Source organism: Homo sapiens, chromosome 12, assembly GCF_000001405.40.
Source record: "Homo sapiens chromosome 12, GRCh38.p14 Primary Assembly".
NCBI lineage: Eukaryota > Metazoa > Chordata > Mammalia > Primates > Hominidae > Homo > Homo sapiens.
This window is the reverse complement of record NC_000012.12, coordinates 109,114,125-109,133,234: the sequence shown is the minus strand read 5'-3', so window position 1 is coordinate 109,133,234 and position 19,110 is coordinate 109,114,125. Positions and strand designations below refer to the sequence as shown.

The 19,110-nt window shown below is 46.9% G+C and overlaps 1 protein-coding gene and 1 long non-coding RNA gene across 14 annotated transcripts in view; one reads left to right on the top strand and one right to left on the bottom strand.

Annotated features, from left to right (window-relative positions):
* The window catches only part of ACACB (acetyl-CoA carboxylase beta), a 157,038-nt gene that overhangs the window by 134,992 nt on the left and 2,936 nt on the right, over positions 1-19,110 (bottom strand). For 2 of the 13 annotated variants that reach the window (NM_001412735.1, XM_047428765.1), the window contains exon 1: positions 1,809-1,874. The exons of 10 other annotated variants lie outside the window; for them this stretch is intronic. The gene's annotated coding sequence lies outside the window, so the exon portion shown is untranslated. Of the gene's footprint in view, positions 1-1,808; positions 1,875-16,530; positions 16,649-19,110 lie in introns of those variants that run through there. One more of the 13 variants, NM_001093.4, reaches the window with a different exon arrangement.
* Positions 1,393-14,581, top strand: LOC105369974 (uncharacterized). Its single transcript, XR_945332.3, has 3 exons — positions 1,393-1,593; positions 5,640-9,089; positions 14,451-14,581. It is a non-coding gene; the product is annotated as an uncharacterized LOC105369974 (long non-coding RNA).

Below are 19,110 nucleotides of genomic sequence, written 5' to 3'. Positions count from 1 at the left end.
AGTGCAGCATAAAGACAAAAGTGTGCTACAATGGTTGTGAATTATGAGGTGTGAGAATACATTGTTTACATTGATTCCTGTTGGAAAGCCAATCAAATTATGCAAGTTTTACATGATATAAGTTCTTCAGGAACTTGCTTAGAAAATCCTGGCTGGCTGGACAAATGGATGGCTGATTAACTACGGATAGAAGGATGAGTAGGTGGTGTGTGGAGAGAGAAGGTGAGTGGATGAGTCAATGGGCAAGATGGTTAGACACACGCACGGCAGGTGATAGAGGGATGGCAGGTAAAGCTGCAAGTTGTACAGCGGAGGCTCTGACGAATGCAGTGGCCAGCTCTTCTCCCCAGTTCAGCCCTTCTCTCACTCTGCAAATCCTTTACAATCTGTTATTCTGTTGGATCTAATCCCCCAAACCTTCCTTGCCAGGGTTACCTACATGAAAAACCTCACAGCCTTTCCCTTTTCTTTGCGGAATAATGACGTGGGACCCAAAGGTCACCCCACACAAGAACTTTTCCCAAGTGAATACACAGAGACAAATCGGAGGACTGTTTGAGAAAGCTACAGAAGAAACTCTCTGAGCCTCAGTTTCCTCATCTATAAAATGGGGATACGAATTCTCACCCCATTCACCTCACTGCTGCTCTCTGCATAACATCTGTACCTATATAGCAACCACACATACAAGCCATCAAATTTGTGGAGTGTCTTCAAGCTCCCAAGACCCTCACCACCACCTCCCTCCAATCCTTAAAACACCTCCATGGGACCGGGCGTGATGGCTCACACCTGTAATCCCAGCACTTTGGGAGGCTGAGGCAGGTGGATCACCTGAAGTCAGAAGTTTGAGACCAGCCTGGCCAACAAGGTGAAACCTCATTCTACTAAAAAATACAAAAATTAGCTGGGCGTGGTGGTGCACGCCTGTAATCCCAGCTACTTGGGAGGCTGAGGCAGGAGAATCACCTAAACCCAGGAGGCAGAGGTTGCAGTGAGCTGAGATCATACCACTGCACTCCAGCCTGGGTGACAGAGTGAGACTCCATCTCAAAAAAAAAAAGGAACAACCCAATGGATGTTATTATTGTCATTGTCACTATTTGACTTCCATTTTACAGCTTGGTAAACTGTGGATCAGTAACTTTCCCTTGCTCATACCTTTTCCACTGTCCCACCACTGCAGTGGAGATAAGTAAATTCCATAAGGCAGCAGGTGGTACAAGGAGTGCGTAGATATGATCCTAAAAACAGACAGACACCTGGCTGTGTACCTTTAAGACACAGCCGCAGATCGACATGCAAACTAACGGTGCCAGACGGTGGCGTGGGGGGGCCGTGGTCAAGAATGAGCACCGATCACGCAGTTTGATTCCATGAGCAGGGAAGGCCAGACGAGCCCTTCCAGTGAACCTCTGTGGACGCTATCATGACAAGCTGCTGCCCTTCGCTGAAATAACCCAGCGGACCCGAAAACCAGATGCCAGACAAAGCTATTTTTATGTCTTGCAAACCTAACCCAAGCAACAGCTGCCTGTTGAAAGAGTGATCGTGGCCTTCACCACAATGAACACGAGAAACTGCTCAGTCCTGGTAAGTGCTGGCCAGTCACCAGGCAAGGGCAGGGCAAGGACGGGAGTCAGGAGTCTGTTTTCCAGTCCCTCCACAACCCACAGCACACTCATCCCCATGCCTGGTGAGGTTTTTAAAGGACAGAGGGGACAGAATGTCAGCATCCAGCAATCCCCATCCATGCTTGGATTTTTCCTCCCACCAAGATTAACTCCCCAGCACTTGTTGCCACTTACCGTCACTGGGGATGCAGCCACCAGCTCCATTCTTGAGTGAGGCTGACAGGCGCCCACAGGGTGACTAAGGGAACCCAGCTGGCAGAGTGTCACCTTTCAGCGGGAGGCTGGTGGCGTGCATCAGGCCATGGGGGTGGGGCTTGGACCGGCCAGCACTCCGACATGGGTGAGCGTTCCCCCAAGTTGGCAGTGCAGCATGCCTTTATCTGTCACCCATAAATTTAAGCCATTTCAAAGGTCCTCACTCAGCCTTCTCCTGACCTCAAGCTTAGGTAGTTAAGAGGCTATCTGTGCTCCCAGGGGCTTCGTGGGCTTGAGGACCACCTCCCTCCAGCTTGCCACATTTCTGTACTTAGCCCTACTTCACTGCTCATGCAATTGCCCTCTTGCCCAACTCTCCATCTCTGGTACAGGCTTTAAACAGTCCTGTAATCACAACAGCCCTGGGTAGACAGGAAAACAGCATCGACAGATGTTCCAAGGGGTTCATCTGTCAGACGCCTGTCCAGAAGGGAGGGTGAGACTCAGCACAACTTGTGTTTGGCTATACTGGGCACGAATGGCCAGCTGGACACACAGGTCAGCCCAGGCAGGAAAGAGAAGCAACAGTATCGGGACAAAGAGGGGGTGGTCAGGGGCCCTTCAGCAAGTGGCGCAATGTCCTTTTGCAAATTCAGAGATAATTAAACTGATGGGGACAGGCCAAGTGTGGCTGCTGGGGCGTAAGAGGCTGACTGGTGGACACCTTCACCTGCACTCGGCCTGTAGATCTGGGGTGTCACAGATCAGAGTGTTTCTCAAAAGCCACCTGCTGCAACCTACAGCTGAATGCGGGGAAGCACAGGGATCATCGAGTCCAGTGTGCTTGTGTTGTAGATGAGCAAATGGTGGCCAGGAGGTCACATGTGCAATTAGCCACAGAGCCAAAGACTGGGACCAACCAAGATCCCCGGCTCCAGGCCAGTTCTTCCGCTATATTGAGGCATGATTGGCGGCCAAAGTCAACTGTCACCGGGCACCTTGTTTGGTCCCCTGGAAACTGACCTGGGTTCACATGTCGGTTCTGCCACTTACAAGCTGGGGAAGCCTTGGGCAAGTTAAATGCCCTCCCTGATCATCAGTCTCCTCATCTGCAAAATGGGGATAAGGATGGTACCTACATCATTGCTGGGCTGTTAAGAGTTCAATGAGTTCATCCCCCCTGGGGCACTGAGTGCAGTGCTGGATGCAGTTGGGCTGTACACATCTGAGCCATCAGCATTCACCATCTCCACTCAGAGCACCATGGGCAGTGTGAGCCACCGCTCCAGGACTCTGCCACCAATGGACAGTGTGATCTTGAACAAATCACCTCCCCTCTCCAAACCTCAGTGTCCCCATCTAGAAAAGGGGGCAAAATACCCAGCCTCGCCTACCTCACCTGCCTTATTGTGAGAATCAACCAAGATTCATGTAGTCACTCAACACCAAATAGAGCCTTCCCCTTCCTGCTGCACCAAACAGAAAGAACCAGGCAGGTGATAGTGATGGCGGCTTCTGCTGTGAGCATCTTCCTCCACTCATGGACAGAAAGGATTCACATTTGGTTCACAGCACCTGTCAGTCCTGGTCAGGTGTCAGAGCCACTCTCTAAGGATCGGCCAGCCCAGGCAGGACAGGCAGATCCCCCCATCAAGGACAGCTTCCCAGGCCTGCAGCCTAGAACTGCTTTTGGGGGGCAGAGGGGATGGTGCCCTGCAGGGGCAGGCATTTTTCCAAAGGGGAAAGTCTCTGGGCTTTCAGCAGCATGGACCAGGCTGAATTAACATCCTATCTGTTCCCTGATCCAGTGAGGATGCTCCTAAGGACTCTGGGTGTGTTTGGGGGCCCAGGGAGACCATTTTTTCAGTTATTTCAACAGAGGATTATTTTTTTAATGCCCACATAGGGGTTGAAGAAGGGAAGAAAGGAAATGTTAGGGAGTGTTGCAGGGAAGAGGAAGTGATTCCTAATAAGTCGCGACAAGTGTTTTTCTGTGTCACTGGCATGTGTGTGGCCTATGACAGCCACTGTGCTAAGAGCTTTACATGCAGGGTCCTGCTCCTTTCACAGGCGAGAAAACCGAGGCTCAGTCACTCTCTAAGCCCACACTTTAAGACCCACGTGGCCTCACTTTGGAGCCTGAGCTCCTAATTCTCACACTCTCCTGCTCTACATGCAGAATTTCTGTCCACAAACTCTAGAAAAGGTCCTAAGTGATGGTCACGGTCACTACCTTGTTTTTTAGAGTTGTGGGCTTGTTTTTAAATCTGTATCCATTCTTTTTTATTTATTTATTTATTTTTTTCGAGACAGGGTCTTGCTTTGTCACCCAGGCTGGCCTCAAGTGATCCTCCCACTTTGGCCTCCCAAAGTGTTGGGATTACAGGCCTGAGCCACTGTGCCTGGCCTGTGTCCAGGCCACAAATAAATAAGCAATGTTTATTTGTCAATTAATAATTTATTAAGTTGACCAGACACAGTGGCTCATGCCTATAATTCCAGCACTTCAGGAGGCCAAAGTGGGAGGATTGTTTGCGCCCAGCAGTTCAGGACCAGCCTGGGTAACATAGCGAGACCCTGTCTCAGAAAACAAATTAATTAATTAAATTGGGAAAAAAAAGTCCATCTATTATTGCTTTAAAAAAAAAAAAAAGAAAGCAACAAAAGTACTTCTGTAGACTTTGGGTTCTTCTTGGAAAGACTTTTGGGGAGATAGCTATGTTCTGCCCAAATAAAGAAAAACTTTTAAAATTAAAATCTAATTACTGACTGGGTGCAGTGGCTCACGCCCGTAATCCCAGCACTTTGGGAGGCTGAGGGGGGCAGATCACTTGAGTTCGGGAGTTCGAGACCAGCCTGGCCAACATAGTGAAACCCCGTCTCTACTAAAAACACAAAAAATTAGCTGGGCGTGGTGGTGGGTGCCTGTAATCCCAGCTACTTGGGAGGCTGAGGTGGGAGAATCACTTGAACCCAGGAGGCGGAAGTTGCAATGAGCCAAGATCGTGCCATTGCACTCCAGCCTGGGAAACAAGAGTGAAACTCCGTCTAAAAAATAAAATAAAATAAAATAAAAAAAGTCCAAAAAAATTAGCCAGGTGTGGTGGCAGGCAGCAGTAATCCCAGCTACTAGGGAGGCTGAGGCAGGAGAATCACTTGAACCCGGGAGGTGGAGGTTGCAGTGAGCCGAGATCACACCACTGCACTGCGGCCTGGGCGACAGAGCAAAACTCCATAAGATCTAATTGCTAGAATCTCAGAATCAGGAAAAGCCACATCTAGAAGGCAGTTCAGAGAGGATACCTTCCGGGTTGGAGACAGACGTGAGGGAGAGCAAAAAGTAAAGAGCATCTGCACTGGGACTTTGAAGGTTGAATAGGAGCTCGCCAGGCTGCCAAGGGAGCAGGACATCTCAAGCAGAATTTACTCTTGGGGACTCTGCCAAAGTTCCTAAAGCAGGAGCTGTGATTAGCAAATCAGCTATGTTGTGAAGGATGATCCTTTAAGATTTTTACATCTGAAGAAGATACGTGACAACTTTTAGCTGGCAGTGGAGGGAGGTCTACCCTCCCTGCGAACTGTAAGACTTGAAAAGGCACACCCCATGGTGTGATCCAAGAACTTCGCCTTCCCCTGCAACTGTGCTTGACGGCACTGGTGACACACCATGCTCCCTTACACCAGAGGAACAAATGTTCGGGGACAGCAAAATAATTGCAACTGTCATCTCTAGGAATCTAGGGAGTGAGTGTGCTCCCTGACACTCCCTGACTGCAAATACTAAGAACTTTATTCTTTTTTTTTTTTTAGGCGAATTCTGGATCTATCACCCAGGCCAGAGTGCAGTGGCATGATCTTGGCTCACTGCAACCTCTGCCTCCCAGGCTGAAGCCATCCTCCTACCTCAGCCTCCAGAGTAGCTGGGACTACAGGCGTGTGCCACCATGCCCAGCTAATTTTTGGTTTTTTGGGTTTTTTTTTTTTCTGTAGAGACAGGATCTCACTTTGTTGCCCAGGCTGATCTTGAACTCCTGAGTAAGAGCTTTGTCCTAATAATTAATAATACCAATAATGCCTTCCACTATAAGCATCTTGTTTACAAGTATCCCATTTCACACATGAGAATCCAATGTCCAGAGAGGTGGAGTGACTTGTTTGAAGTCACACAGCTTGGAGGTATACATGGCATTCGACCCTGGGCTACCTGACTCTAAAGCTAGATTTGTCATAGGCGGAGGTGACCAGGTCGTTGATTCAATTGTTTAATGGGCTACCCTATTGGATTGGTGGAATCAGAGCCTGAAAAAGACACCCAAAAGAGGGTCAGCAGTTTTCAAACTTACAACATGTCAGAGCATCTGGGTCTTCAGGGAATCCCAGCCAGTACTGCTAGAGTAAGCAAAAGATTACTACATCTCTGGTTTTGTGCCAAATCCCAAACCATTCCATCCTAGAGTACGGGTGTACAGCATTCAAGGCCTCTGATTTTGGAACAACTTCAGGGAGCAAAACATATTTAAGAGAAGCCTGTACATTTCAGCTTCTCCCTCAGCCAGGAAATTACTCAAATGATTGAGTCTCCCAGGGCCCTCTGAGAGTATAGACCCAGAAAGATGCACATCCACAATGCCTGGTACACTGTAGGTGCTCAATTAATGCCTGTTGAGACAAACCAAACTTCTTTTTTCTTTCTTTTTATTTTTTATTTTTTTTGTGTGTGTAGAGACAAGGTCTCTCTCTGTCACCCAGGCTGGAGTCCAGTGGCACAATTGTAACTGACAGCAGCCTCGAACTCCTGGGATCAAGCAATCCTCCTGTTTTAGCCTCCCAAATAGCTGGGACTACAGGTGCACACCACGACATCTAGCTAATCTTTTTTATATTTTGTAGAGATAGGGTCTTTCTGTGTTGCCCAGGCTGGTCTTGAACTCCTGTCCTCAAGCAATCTTCCCACCTCTTCCTCCCAAAGTTCTGGGATTACAGGCATAAGCCACCATGCCTGGTTCAGATCAAATTCTTGATGTGGTGAATCTGCCATCCCAAGCAAAACTGGCCTGAATGGTTCCAGATCGGCCCCTGCCTTGAAGGAAGGTAAGAGGAGCCGTTTTTCCACCTCCAATGGAAAACATGTTCCGCAGTCTAAAGGCCTATCAGTCTGATCTGTCTGGCTAGCCTCTCACTTGAATTATCCCTGCAGAAATTGCTGAAGTCCACTGTTCAGCTCTCCTAAGTTCTGGTCCTTGCCATCTTCACAGGTGGAATCCTATCCTTCTTCGCTTCTCCCCCTGCTGTGCTGTGAATTTGCCTTCTTCAGCCATTCACTCATTCATCAGCAGGTATTTCCTGAGCACCTGCCAGGTGTGGTACACGCTGCTGGAGACATGGAGCAAACAGGCAGGAATGGCCCAGCCCTGCCCTCGTGGGTTTATGATCTCACTGGGAAGCAAATAAAATCACAAACCTGAGGGCACAACCAGGAGAATCGCCATGAACTCGTGATGGATCAGGTTTTGCACCAAAATGTAAGTCATTTTTGAGTGTGAAACCAAGAACCCTCTGGGCGACACAGTGCATTGGTTAGAGCACGAGATCTGGATTCAGGTTCTATTTCTGCTGTTCATTTCCTGTGTGACCTTGAACAAGTTTCCTCACCTCTCTGAGCTTGGGTTTTCTCATGTATACAATGATAAGGAAGTCTTCCTCATACAGTTTTGGAGTTTAAGTAAACTAATACAGATCAAGTCATTGATGAAAGAGTGTGCTACCATTTATGGTGCTCTCCATCATGTACCAAGCATTGCGCTAAGTGATTTACCTAAGATCAAGTTCAAGCCACTGTTATATCTCACTTGGGCCACTGCGAAAGTCTCTTGACCTGTCTCTCTGGCCTGGTCTTGTCCCTCCAGTTCATCATGCACAGAGAAGCCAAGGCGATCTTGTAAAAATTCCACAGACATCGTTAGTGTCCAGATTATAATGTCTCTAAGAACATTTCCCACTGAAAGGAACCAGGACTCCTTGGAGAAATGTCTGATTCTAGGGCTGGGGCAGAAATGTACATGATGAGCTGAGATATCTTCTTGCCTGAAAACAAGGACCCTCCAGGGGCATGGGCTACCAAAGAGAGGCTGCAAACGGATGATGACTGCAGTGGATTGAAACACATCAAAATATCTTTAAAAACCATAAGGTCGTAACACCCCTCAAAACAAAAACAACTCGTTGATACTTTTCATGGCTGCTAGGGCTACTCATTACTCTGAAAATAGACTTAGCCCCGCCCACACACAAAAAAAGGACATAATCAACCATGTACTCTGCCTTTCAGGGACTGTATTTCAGGGTAAGCAAATGCTTGAGGAAAGTCGTGTGGTAGAGAACAATGAGAGTTGGGCCGGGCACAGTGGCTCATGCCTGTAATGCCAGCTCTTTGGAAGGCCAAGGCGGGAGTATCGTTTGAGCTCAGGTTTGAGACCAGCCTGGGCAATGTAGTGAAACCTCATCTCTATCAAAAATACATAAAATTAGCCAGGCATGGTGGCGAGCGCCTGTGGTCCCAGCTACTCAAGAGGCTGAGGCAGGAGGATCGCTTGAACCTGACAAGTTGAGGTTGCAGTGAGCCAAGATTGTGCCACTGCACTCTAGCCTGGATGACAGAGAGAGACCCTGTCTCAAAACAAACAAACAAAACCAGAAACAACAACAACAACAACAAAAAACAACAAGAGCTAATAAGCACAGAAAGATTGACGGAAGTAGAAAATCACTATAGTAACGAAACAATAATCTGGGCTTTGCTCATCAGCAGGCAGTAAAGTCATTCGGCAAGAGGGTGATAGGGAACTTTACGACGGAGGTCAGACTGATACCCTAAACTCACTAATGAACAAAAATCACTAAAAGTGGGGTAACTGAACTTTATGTTCTTGACGTGATGCAAGAGAAAACAGAAAAACACCTTCAAAGTATTCCTGCTAAGGATCTGCACCTGAATTGATTCAAGCCTCTTGACCTAGTACTTATTTATAGGTATAGAAGAACATGTTAGATGACACTTGGAAGATGCAATCAGCCAAATCCAGAATATGGAAAATTCTACGGGACAAATGACCCAGTTTCAATAAGTAACTGGCATTTAATAAAGGGAGTTGCTGATTATTACAGATGAGGAGACTTAAGAGAAACCCTGTGGGTCCTGATTTGAATAAAACCATTCAAAGACATCTTTGAGCCACCTGGAGGACAGTCAGCATGAACTAGGTACTAGATTAAGGAATTATCATTCATTCTGTTAGATAGATATAATTATGGCAATGGTTTAAAAAAAAAACTTGTGTCTTTTAGAAATGTGTGCTAAAGTATTACGGGCAAAACAGTGTGACATCTAGCTGTGAGAATTGCTTGAAAATAGTCTGGGGGCCAGATGCAGTGGCTCACATCTATAATCCCAGCACTTTGGGAGGCCAAGGCAGGAGGATCGCTTGAGCCCAGGAGTTCAAGACCAGCCCGAGCAACATGGCAAACTCTGTTACCTAAAAAATAAAAATTAAAAAAAAAAAATTAGCCAGGCGTGGTGGTGTGTCCCTGTAGTCCCAGCTACTCTGGAGGCTGAGATGGGAGCCCAGGGTAGTAGAGGCTGCAAGTGAGCCGAGATTGTGCCACTGCACTCCAGCCTGGGCGACAGAGTGAGACCCTGTCTCTTTTCTTTTTTTTGAGACAGGGTCTCACTCTGTCACCCAGGCTGGAGTGTAGTGGCACAATCTTGGCTCAATGCAACCTCTGCCTCCCAGGTTCAAAAGATTCTCCTGCCTCAGCCTCCTGAGTAGTTGGGATTACAGGTGCATGCCACCAGGCCTGGCTAATTTTTGTATTTTTTGTAGAGATGGGCGTTTTTCCATGTTGGCCAGGCTGGTCTTAAACTCCTGGCCTCAAGTGATCTGCCCGCCTCGGCCTCCCAAAGTGCTGGAATTACAGATGTGAGCCACCACGCTCGGCCTAAGACCCTGTCTCTTAAAACAAACAAATAAACAAACAAACAAAAAAAACTCTGGAGCTCTAATTAATGACATGCATGTTGAAGTATTCAAGGATAAAGACACTGATATCTGCAATTTACAGGTGACAAATACAGAAAAATGGTAATGGCAGAATCTAATCAGGGGTATATGGGCACCCACTGTAAAATTCTTTCAACTTGTATGTTTAAAAATTTTTTTTTTTTTTTTGAGATGGAGTCTCGCTCTGTCGCCCAGGCTGGAGTGCAGTGGTGCGATCTCGGCTCACTGCAAGCTCCGCCTCCTGGGTTCATGCCATTCTCCTGCCTCAACCTCCTGAGTAGCTGGGACTACAGGCACCTGCCACCACGCCCGGCTAATTTTTTGTATTTTTAGTAGAGACGGGGTTTCACCATGTTAGCCAGGATGGTCTCGATCTCCTGACCTCGTGATCCGCCCACTTTGGCCCCCAAAGTGCTGGGATTACAGGCATGAGCCACTGCACCCAGCTTAAATTTTTTTATAATAAAATGTTGGGGGAATAATATAGGGAAAATGGGTATAGGAAGATGAAACTAGAAGGGCAGAAAGGCAATGGTTATTGAAGCTGGCTGATGAATGCATTGGGGGACCACTGTGCTATTTACTCTGCTTCTGAAGGTGTTAAAAAAAAACAGGTCAACTTTTTTTCCTATACCAAAAAGTTAAAAAGTTCATAAAATACAATGCAAGTACCCACCAGCTGACTGAAACCTGAATATTAATAGCTAATACTTATGAGTACTAATTTGTGCTAGGCTCTGTATTCAGCATCTTTTTTTTTTTTTTTTTTTTTTTTTGAGACAATGTCTGACTCTGGCGCCTAGGCTGGAGTGCAGTGGCACAATCATAGCTCATTGCAGCCTTGAATTCCTGGGCTCAAGCAATCCCCCTCCTCGGCCTCCCAAAGCACTGGGATTACAGGCATGTGCCACCACGCCCAGCGAAACTTTTTATATTTTATACAGACAGGGACTCAAGCAATCCTCCCGCCTTGGCCTCCCAAAGCACTGGGATTACAGGCATGAACCACCATACCTGGCCTATATGAAGCATTTTATAATCATTGTCTCATTCCACCTTGTGAGACCAGTAGCAGGGGAAGCCTCGTTTTATTGATGAGGAAGTTCTGGGTTCGAGAAGTTGAAGTGACGCAAAGTCACTCACCCGGGTAGTAAGCAGATAAACTGAATTTCACCTTTTCAATGATTGCTCACTGCACCCCTTTCCATGGTCTACATGGCCCTGGCAAACCGGCCTCTGCCACACTGACCCCTCTACGTTCCTCTGCACATGCTGCCTGGAATGTTCTGGAATGTTCTTCCCTTCCCTGCCCCCACTTCTGTCCTTTGCATGGTTATCTCTTGCTCTTTTTCTGATGGTTGGCTTCAGTGTCCCCACCTCAAACCCACCCTGATACTCAGTGGTCTTATTCTGTAGGACACGTGCCATTCATCACGTGCTGACCTGACTCTCTGCATTCACCAATGAGTTTATGCCTCTTCTCCACTGGAATAGAAGCTTCCTAAGGGCAAGGAGTGGCTCTGTCTTGCTCTGGGCTCTCCAGCACAGTGCCTAGCACACAGAAGCGTCAGGGTCAGTGAACACTTGCTGGAGGCCTGCACCCAGCTCAGGTGTGTCTGTGCCACCCCCACCCCTGCTGCCTACCTGGGGAATCCTCCTGCTCCACTGAGTCCTTGGGGCTGGGAGTGTCCAGGTGAGGCCCTGGGCACAGGCATCTGCACGGCTGTTGAACCCCTGCTGGCTGCTCCCTCATACTGCTGTATCAGGGGCCACCAGAGAGATGCCATGGAACACCATGCTCTTGCTCTATGCCCCACAGTTCCCTGATCTCTTCCTCCTGGCACTCATCATAGGTTGTAGTTATGTGGGTCATTATTACACATCTACCAGTGTCCCCCACTAGAAGGTAAGATCTGTGAGAGCAGGCAAGGCTTAAAACCCAGAGGGGCACAGATTTATCATCAATTTCTGACTTCATCTCCCCCGACCCCTTCCCCAGTCTATTTGCAACTCTGAAAATAGGGTTCTTTTGTAACTCCAGTATACACTAGGAGGCATATAGTAGTCCCTCAAGGAACCCATAAAAGCATGTTGAATAAGAATGAAAGCTGGCAGGTGTGGTCTCTCATGCCTGTAATCCCAGCACTTTGGGAGGCCTAGGCGGGCAGATCACTTGAGGTCAGGAGTTCGAGACCAGCCTGGCCAACATGGTGAAACCCTGTTTCTACTAAAAATACAAAAATTAGCCGAGTGTGGTGATATGCACCTGTGGTCCCAGCTACTTGGGAGGCTGAGGCAGGAGAATCGCTTGAACCTGGGAGGTGGAGGTTGCAGTTAGCTGAGATCACGCCACTGCACCCCAGCCTGGGCAACAGAGCAAGACTATGTCTCAAAAAAATAAAAAAGAAAGCTGATGTTTGTTGAGCACCTCCTACACACTGAGTCTTATGCTGTGCACTTTGTGTGTGTTATCTCTTTAAATGTTCACAAAAATGATAAGATGAGGCACAGAGAGAAAGTCTGTTGTTCAGAGTCACATCAGTGAGTGGCAGAGCTGGGCCCCGGGCTGGGCCCTCCAGCTCCAGGTGTGCACGTGTGTGGCACACGTGTGTGGGTGTGTTTTCTTCATCCCTTCCCCTACGCCCACCATTGCCTCACTCCAAGGCTGAGCTAGTGCAACAGCCTGTTAGCAGATCTCACTGAATCAATTCTACTTTCTCCCTGTTCAAATTCATCCAGAACCCTGGGAGACAGTGCTCTATTTACACACACACACATACACACACACATGCATGCATACACACATGCACACACACACCCCTTGCCCCCTGCTCAAGAGCTCGAGCCTGTGAACCTCATCCACTCCATGGTCCTGCCTCCCAGGATCCTGCAAGGAGATGAGGAAGGCATGGAATGAAACGGTTCCATGTTTTGCAAGAGGTGGCTATGAATACCAATCCTGAAAGATGGTCCCCACCCTTGCCAAAAAATAACATTTCTAGGGCCAAATCCCAATGTCACATCTTGGAGAGTCCCACTGCATTTAGCATAGTAAAGGCTCTGAGAAGTCCTGCTGTAAACCACAGGCAGCCTGGTGTTTCCCAAACTGATTGGCCCTGGAGGCCTGTTTCCACCTTGCATGGGCAGCTCTCCATATCAGAAGAGCTCCAAAAGCCTCACTTTGTGGGGAGTATGGAAATAAAAGACCGAAGCCTTCCTTATAACACAGCAGAGAAAGCCTTCTAGGTCAGTTGGGAGGGGCATGTCCAACAACTGATTATTCTATAATAGCTAGTATTGAAGTCTGCAGCTGATTTGCTTCTAAATAGAAAGGAGAGTGTGTTCAAGTTGTCCTCTGATATCACCTTCACTCATTATTTAATTTAAAAATATGGAGCTTAATTAGTTCAACAGGAGTGGTGGAAAATCCTTTAATCCTTTTTTTTTTTCTTCTGAGATGGAGTCTCGCTCTGTCGCCCAGGCTAGAGTGCAGTGGCGCGATCTCAGCTTGCTGCAACGTCTGGTTCCCAGTTTCAAGCGATTCTCCTGCCTCAGCCTCCCAGGTAGCTGGGATTACAGGCGCACCACCATAACTGGCTAATTTTTGTATTTTTAGTAGAGACAGGGTTTTGCCATGTTGGTCAGGCTGGCCTTGAACTCCTGACCTCAAGTGATCTGCCTGCCTCAGCCTCCCAAAGTGCTGGGATTATAGGCGTGAGCCACCCAGCCCTGTCTCAAAATCATTTTTTTTTTTTTTTTGAGACAGAGTCTTGCTCTGTTGCCCAGGCTGGAGTGCGGTGGCACCATCTCGGTTCACGGCAAGCTCCACCTCCTGTGTTCAAGTGATTCTCCTACCTCAGCCTCCCAAGTCGCTGGGTTTACAGGCACTAGCCACCACACCCAGCTAATTTTTGTATTTTTAGTAGAGAAAGGGTTTCACCATGTTGGCCAGGTTGGTCTCAAACTCCTGACCTCAAGTGATCTAGCTCCTCAGCCTCCCAAAGTGCTGGGATTACAGGCGTGAGCCACTGTGTCTGGCCTGAAGAGACCTTTTCTATGTGTAGTTGTTTTCTGGGGCCCCAGCAAGGGTCAGAGTGGCTAAGGTATGAGCCCAGAGAGCAGGACTTCTGGAGTACAGCAGACTTGGGTGGAGGCTTTGCCATTTGTTATCTGATTGGCCTGAGCCCATCATGGAAATTCTCTGAACCTTGGTTTCCTGGCCTGTGGAATGGAATAAATAAAATCTCCTTCCTAGGATTGTCCTCAAAATTATGTGAGATCCCATAATTATTATGGCATACCTGGGGTATGCCAACTACCCAATAATCAATACCTTGGTTTCTCTGCTGTGCCCAGCCTGGATTCTCTGATACAAGGATCCCTGGATTCCTGGAATAAATGAACACGGTCTATCTTCCTAGAAAATCACCTTACTCTACGGTCATAAATTTACTATTATCACTGCAAACAGAGAGATCTATTAGGATAGGATGTGAAATGTGCATACATTTTTCCGATCAAATGCAATATTTCTAACTCTGTTTCCTGGTTTCCCTGGGTACAGGTGAACTCTACTTTGAAGTAACAAGTCACTGAATCACAAATTCAGAGGAAGCATGAGAACAAGGTATTCCAGGCCGGGTGCAGTGGCTCATGCCCGTAATCCCAGCACTTTGGGAGGCCAAGGTGAGCAGATCACTTGAGGTCAGGAGTTCGAGACCAGCCTGGCCAACATGGCAAAACCCCATCTCTACTAAAAATACAAAAATTAGCTGGGCGTGGTAGTGCTTGCCTGCAATCCCAGCTACTCGGGAGACTGAGACTGAGGAATTGCTTGAACCTGGGAGGCAGGGGTTGCAGTGAGCTGAGATTGTGCCATCGCACTCCAGCCTGGGTGACAGGACGAGACTCTGTCTCAAAAAAAAAAAAAAAAAAAGAACAAGGTCAAAGTTTCTACTGGGATAAGACTTCAAGGAAACCTCCATTTCAAAAGATTAAAATGTTTATTTCCCCATGAAGACTGGGTATCTCATGTAATGTAATACTCAAATTTCTGTCTCAGACCTAAAGGTGTTGAAAGTATGAGCGAGTTTACACAACACCTGAGCAGGAGCAAATAAAACTCTTAAGAGCTTCTGAAAGAAAGTTACAGATTAGAGATATTTTCATCTCTAAATCACATGAATTAGGATTGGCTGGGTCTTTCCACTTAAAACTTGGAGAAGTCATAAAAAGAAATCTTGTAAAGAACTCCATGTCACTATTAGCAGAAACATGCAATTTATAAAATGATATCTTTGGCCAGGCGCGGTGGCTCATGCCTGTAATCCCAGCACTCTGGGAGGCCGAGGCGGGCGGATCACTTGAGGTCAGGAGATCGAGACCATCCTGGCTAACACAGTGAAACCCTGTCTCTACTAAAAATACAAAAAAAATTAGCCGGGCGTGGTAGTGGGTGCCTGTAGTCCCAGCTACTTGGGAGGCTGAGGCAGGAGAATGGCGTGAACCCAGGAGGCGGAGCTTGCAGTGAGCACTCCATCTCAAATAATAATGATAATAATAATATCTTCACCTTTCAGTTTTTAAATTGCAAGTCCCATGTCCCGGGAATTCCCCGGTCCTGGGCAAAGTGGGATGGTTGGTCACCCAACCTATATGGATGCCCATTGATATTAAAAAATAAAAGTAATCACAATAGACATGAGGGAGAGAGTTGTGTACAGTGTGAGTGTACAGAATAAAAGGTCTGGGGGGTTTATACCAAAATGTGCACAGTGGCTACCTGGAGGAGGAGGGTTAGACAGGAATAACAGCAAGGAGACTTTTGCACGGTGCTGAGTGACTTTTTAACTTGCATATTATTTTGGAATGCATTTTTTCAACATTGAAAGAAAGTCATGTCTTCCTAGAAATATAGGATATAGGACCACTACAAACGCTTTACTCTTAGTCTCCTTTTTTTCTTTTTCTTTTCTTTTTTTTTTTTTTTGAGACAGAGTCTTGCTCTGTCAGTCAGGCTGGAATGCAGTGGCGCAATTTTAGCTCACTGCAACCCCCACCTCCTGGGTTCAAGCGATTCTCCTGCCTCAGCCTCCCAAGTAGCTGGGATTACAGGTGCCCATCACCACATCTGGCTAATTTTTATGTGTTTAGTACAGATGGGGTTTCGCCATGTTGGCCAGGCTGGTCTCGAACTCCTGACCTCAAGTGATCCACCTGCCTCTGCCTCCCAAGGTGCTGGGTGGCATGAGCCACCGTGCCCAGCCTTAGTCTGCTTTAAAAAAAAAAAAAAAAAAAAAAAGAACAACCATTTGAGGAAACAGAAACAGAATACTATTCCTTAAGACAGTAGCTTTGGAGGCAAAAAACAGAATTGTTTATAAAACGTTGTGGAACTTATATGGGAGCATGTCCAGGGATCCACACCACCATTTATAGAAGCAAAGAAAGGCCCTTCTCTTTCATCTGCGTTACATTTCGAGCTCTTCTGATTAGCTTCCTTCAAACATGACGGGAGTCGTTTTTCCCCGGGGACCCCAAGTGCATGCCTTCAGACAGGGTCTGCTCTCACTATACATTGGGTTCGAATTTACCTGGACGTTGGCAGAATGGTCCGGACCCCGGGGAGGGGCGAGCTGACTTACCACTTTATTCCTGCCGCTTTTCTCTTGCCATGTCCTCCCCACCGTGCATTCAGGGTTACATTTTCCAGGTTCCTTGTTTGCTGAGGGCCTGAATCTAAGCCTGCTAGCTGCTTACTCTGGGGACTGCAAATGTCACTTTTAGATTAATCAGCCCCTGCTGTTTAAAAATATCCCTGGAGCACTTAACCTTCAAAGCAGCAACAACCCGGGGCAAAGATGAGAAAGATCCCACGTCAAACCACTTGTGCAGCCCTGGCTACTCCTGGGAGAGTTCTGCTATCTGCCTTTTAATCCCATAACTCGCTTTATTTCATAATTCTTAGCTGTTGAAGCCATGAGGCATCTAAAGTCCATGTTGTCGTAAGCAGTAGGCAGAAAGTCATCTGGGCCCTCCTGTGACATGCTGAAAATTAACTGCCTACAGGTGTTGGTCATTTGAGAAACAAGCCCCCATTGAAAACCGTGAATGGGAAGGTGATCGCTATCAGGTCACCTGGCTTCTCTCCCCTGAAAAGATTTGGCGAAACCCTCTCAAATCACGCCACTTAATGGAATGTTTCCAATTTCTTGTGACTTGGGGATAAAAGAAAAAAACAGCTCCATTGCCACATTCTCATTCAGGGTTGACTGGCTCTTGCTAGGGTTGAGCACAGAAGAGGAAATTCAGCACACGCTGCAGTTACATAGTGTTCTGCAACGTGGGGAGGGCTGGCATGTGGGACAAAGGTCGCCTCCAAGGCCCAGCTGGAGAAGCCCAGCCAACTAGGCAGCAGGAAAGTGGAGACCACATAGGAGCACATTGTGCTCAGGCAACAGGGAAGGTGGAACCCACTTCCTGCCAACAATGATGGCCTTACTAAACAGCAAGTGGAGAAACTGGCGAGAGCGCTGAGCACGGGATCTGTGCAAAATGGTTTAAATGGAAATTGCTGCTGGGGCTGGTGCAGCCTGTTCACAGCTACTTTGTTTCTGGGCTTATTTTGCAATAAGGAACAGTCATTGAATATTGGACTTCTTGGGATTTTCTCCACTGGACTTGGAAGCATGTGCTCTGGAAACCTCAGCATTATCAGCTGTAACCCCACAGCACCAGGTACATGTTACAGGAACCGGGGTGAAGGAATGCAGGTCAAATGCCTGCACAATGCCCGGCCCGAGTCATATGTTCTCTAGCCACAGTAGCCCTTGTGATGGCTCTTAGTCTATTTATTAAGACAATAAAAGAGGTGACTCTCAAACAAACCTATGTTTCCAGGGAGAGCCATCTGTGATTCAAGGACATTTTTATAAAATTCCATTGAAAAAAATTCTTAGGCTTCTAACTTCATGAAAAAAAAATTCTTTCCCAGTGATTCCAAATAATCATGATCTAGGCAGGGTGTTGACAGTGGCAGGACTATTAGGCTTTGAAATCAAGCTGATGTGGGTTTGAATCCTCCCTCCATTAGCCATGACTTTGAGCAAATGGCTGAGCTTCAGTGTCCTCATCAACTACTTCACCATATGGGTGAGAAAATGAAATGATTTATATTGAGTTTCTGGCACAGGGGCTTGCTCATGACAAGCACTTAATATCTTTCTAATGAAATTCATTACTTGCAAAAAGACTAGACATACCCACACATACAGGTGAAGAACTCTGCAGTGATTCAGTTCTCCCTAGACACTATCTCTTTAAGACACAGGTATTTTCCAGAATATAATTGGAAGGCTTGAAACCAAAGTTATTCATAAACTCTTTCCATCAAACACAAGAACGGTAATAGAAATATATTTCTTCAAACAGCTGTTAGTTTCAGAAAGTCACAGGTATCAAGTTACATTTTTTGTTTTGTTTTGTTTTGTTTTAGAAATAGGATCTTGCTCTGTTGCCCAGGCTGGATGGAGTGCAGTGGCATGATCATAGCTCACTGCAGCCTCGAACTCCTGGGCTCAAATGATCCTCCTGCCTCAGCTTCCCAAGTAGCTAGAACTACAGGCACACACCACCCCTGGCTAATTAAAAAAAAAAAAATTTTTTTTTTTTAAAGACAAGGTCTCATTATGTTGCCCAAGTTGGTCTTGAACTCCTGGCCTAAAGCGATCTTCTTGCCTTGCCTCCTAAAGCACTGGGATTACAGGTATGAGCCACTGTACCTGGCCCAAAAAAAATTATTAAGTGACCACATGGTCTAACAAAACAAGGCACCTGGAAAGAAATCACCAGTCCTGCTGCAAACCGGACCCTCTGTGAGAATTCACATGCCTTCCCCCACCAATTAAATCAGAATTTCCAGGGATGGGGTCTGGCTTTGCATGTTTTAGCTTCTCTAGGCTGGAGGAGCACTAGCTTCTTGTTGGAAGGCTCCCTACCTTCCTCTCCCACACCCTCACCCCAAACATCATTAAGAGAGACAAAAGAACATGCTATATACACAACTAACAAGCAGAGAACATAAATTATTGATCTCCTGGTCTGCTCCGCTCACCAATATTTATATTTCCAAGCATATTTCAAAAACTTAAAAACTGGTTCCCTAGCCTGGGCAACTTAGCAAGACCCCATTTCTATTAAAAACTTAGCCAGGTATGGTGGTGCAT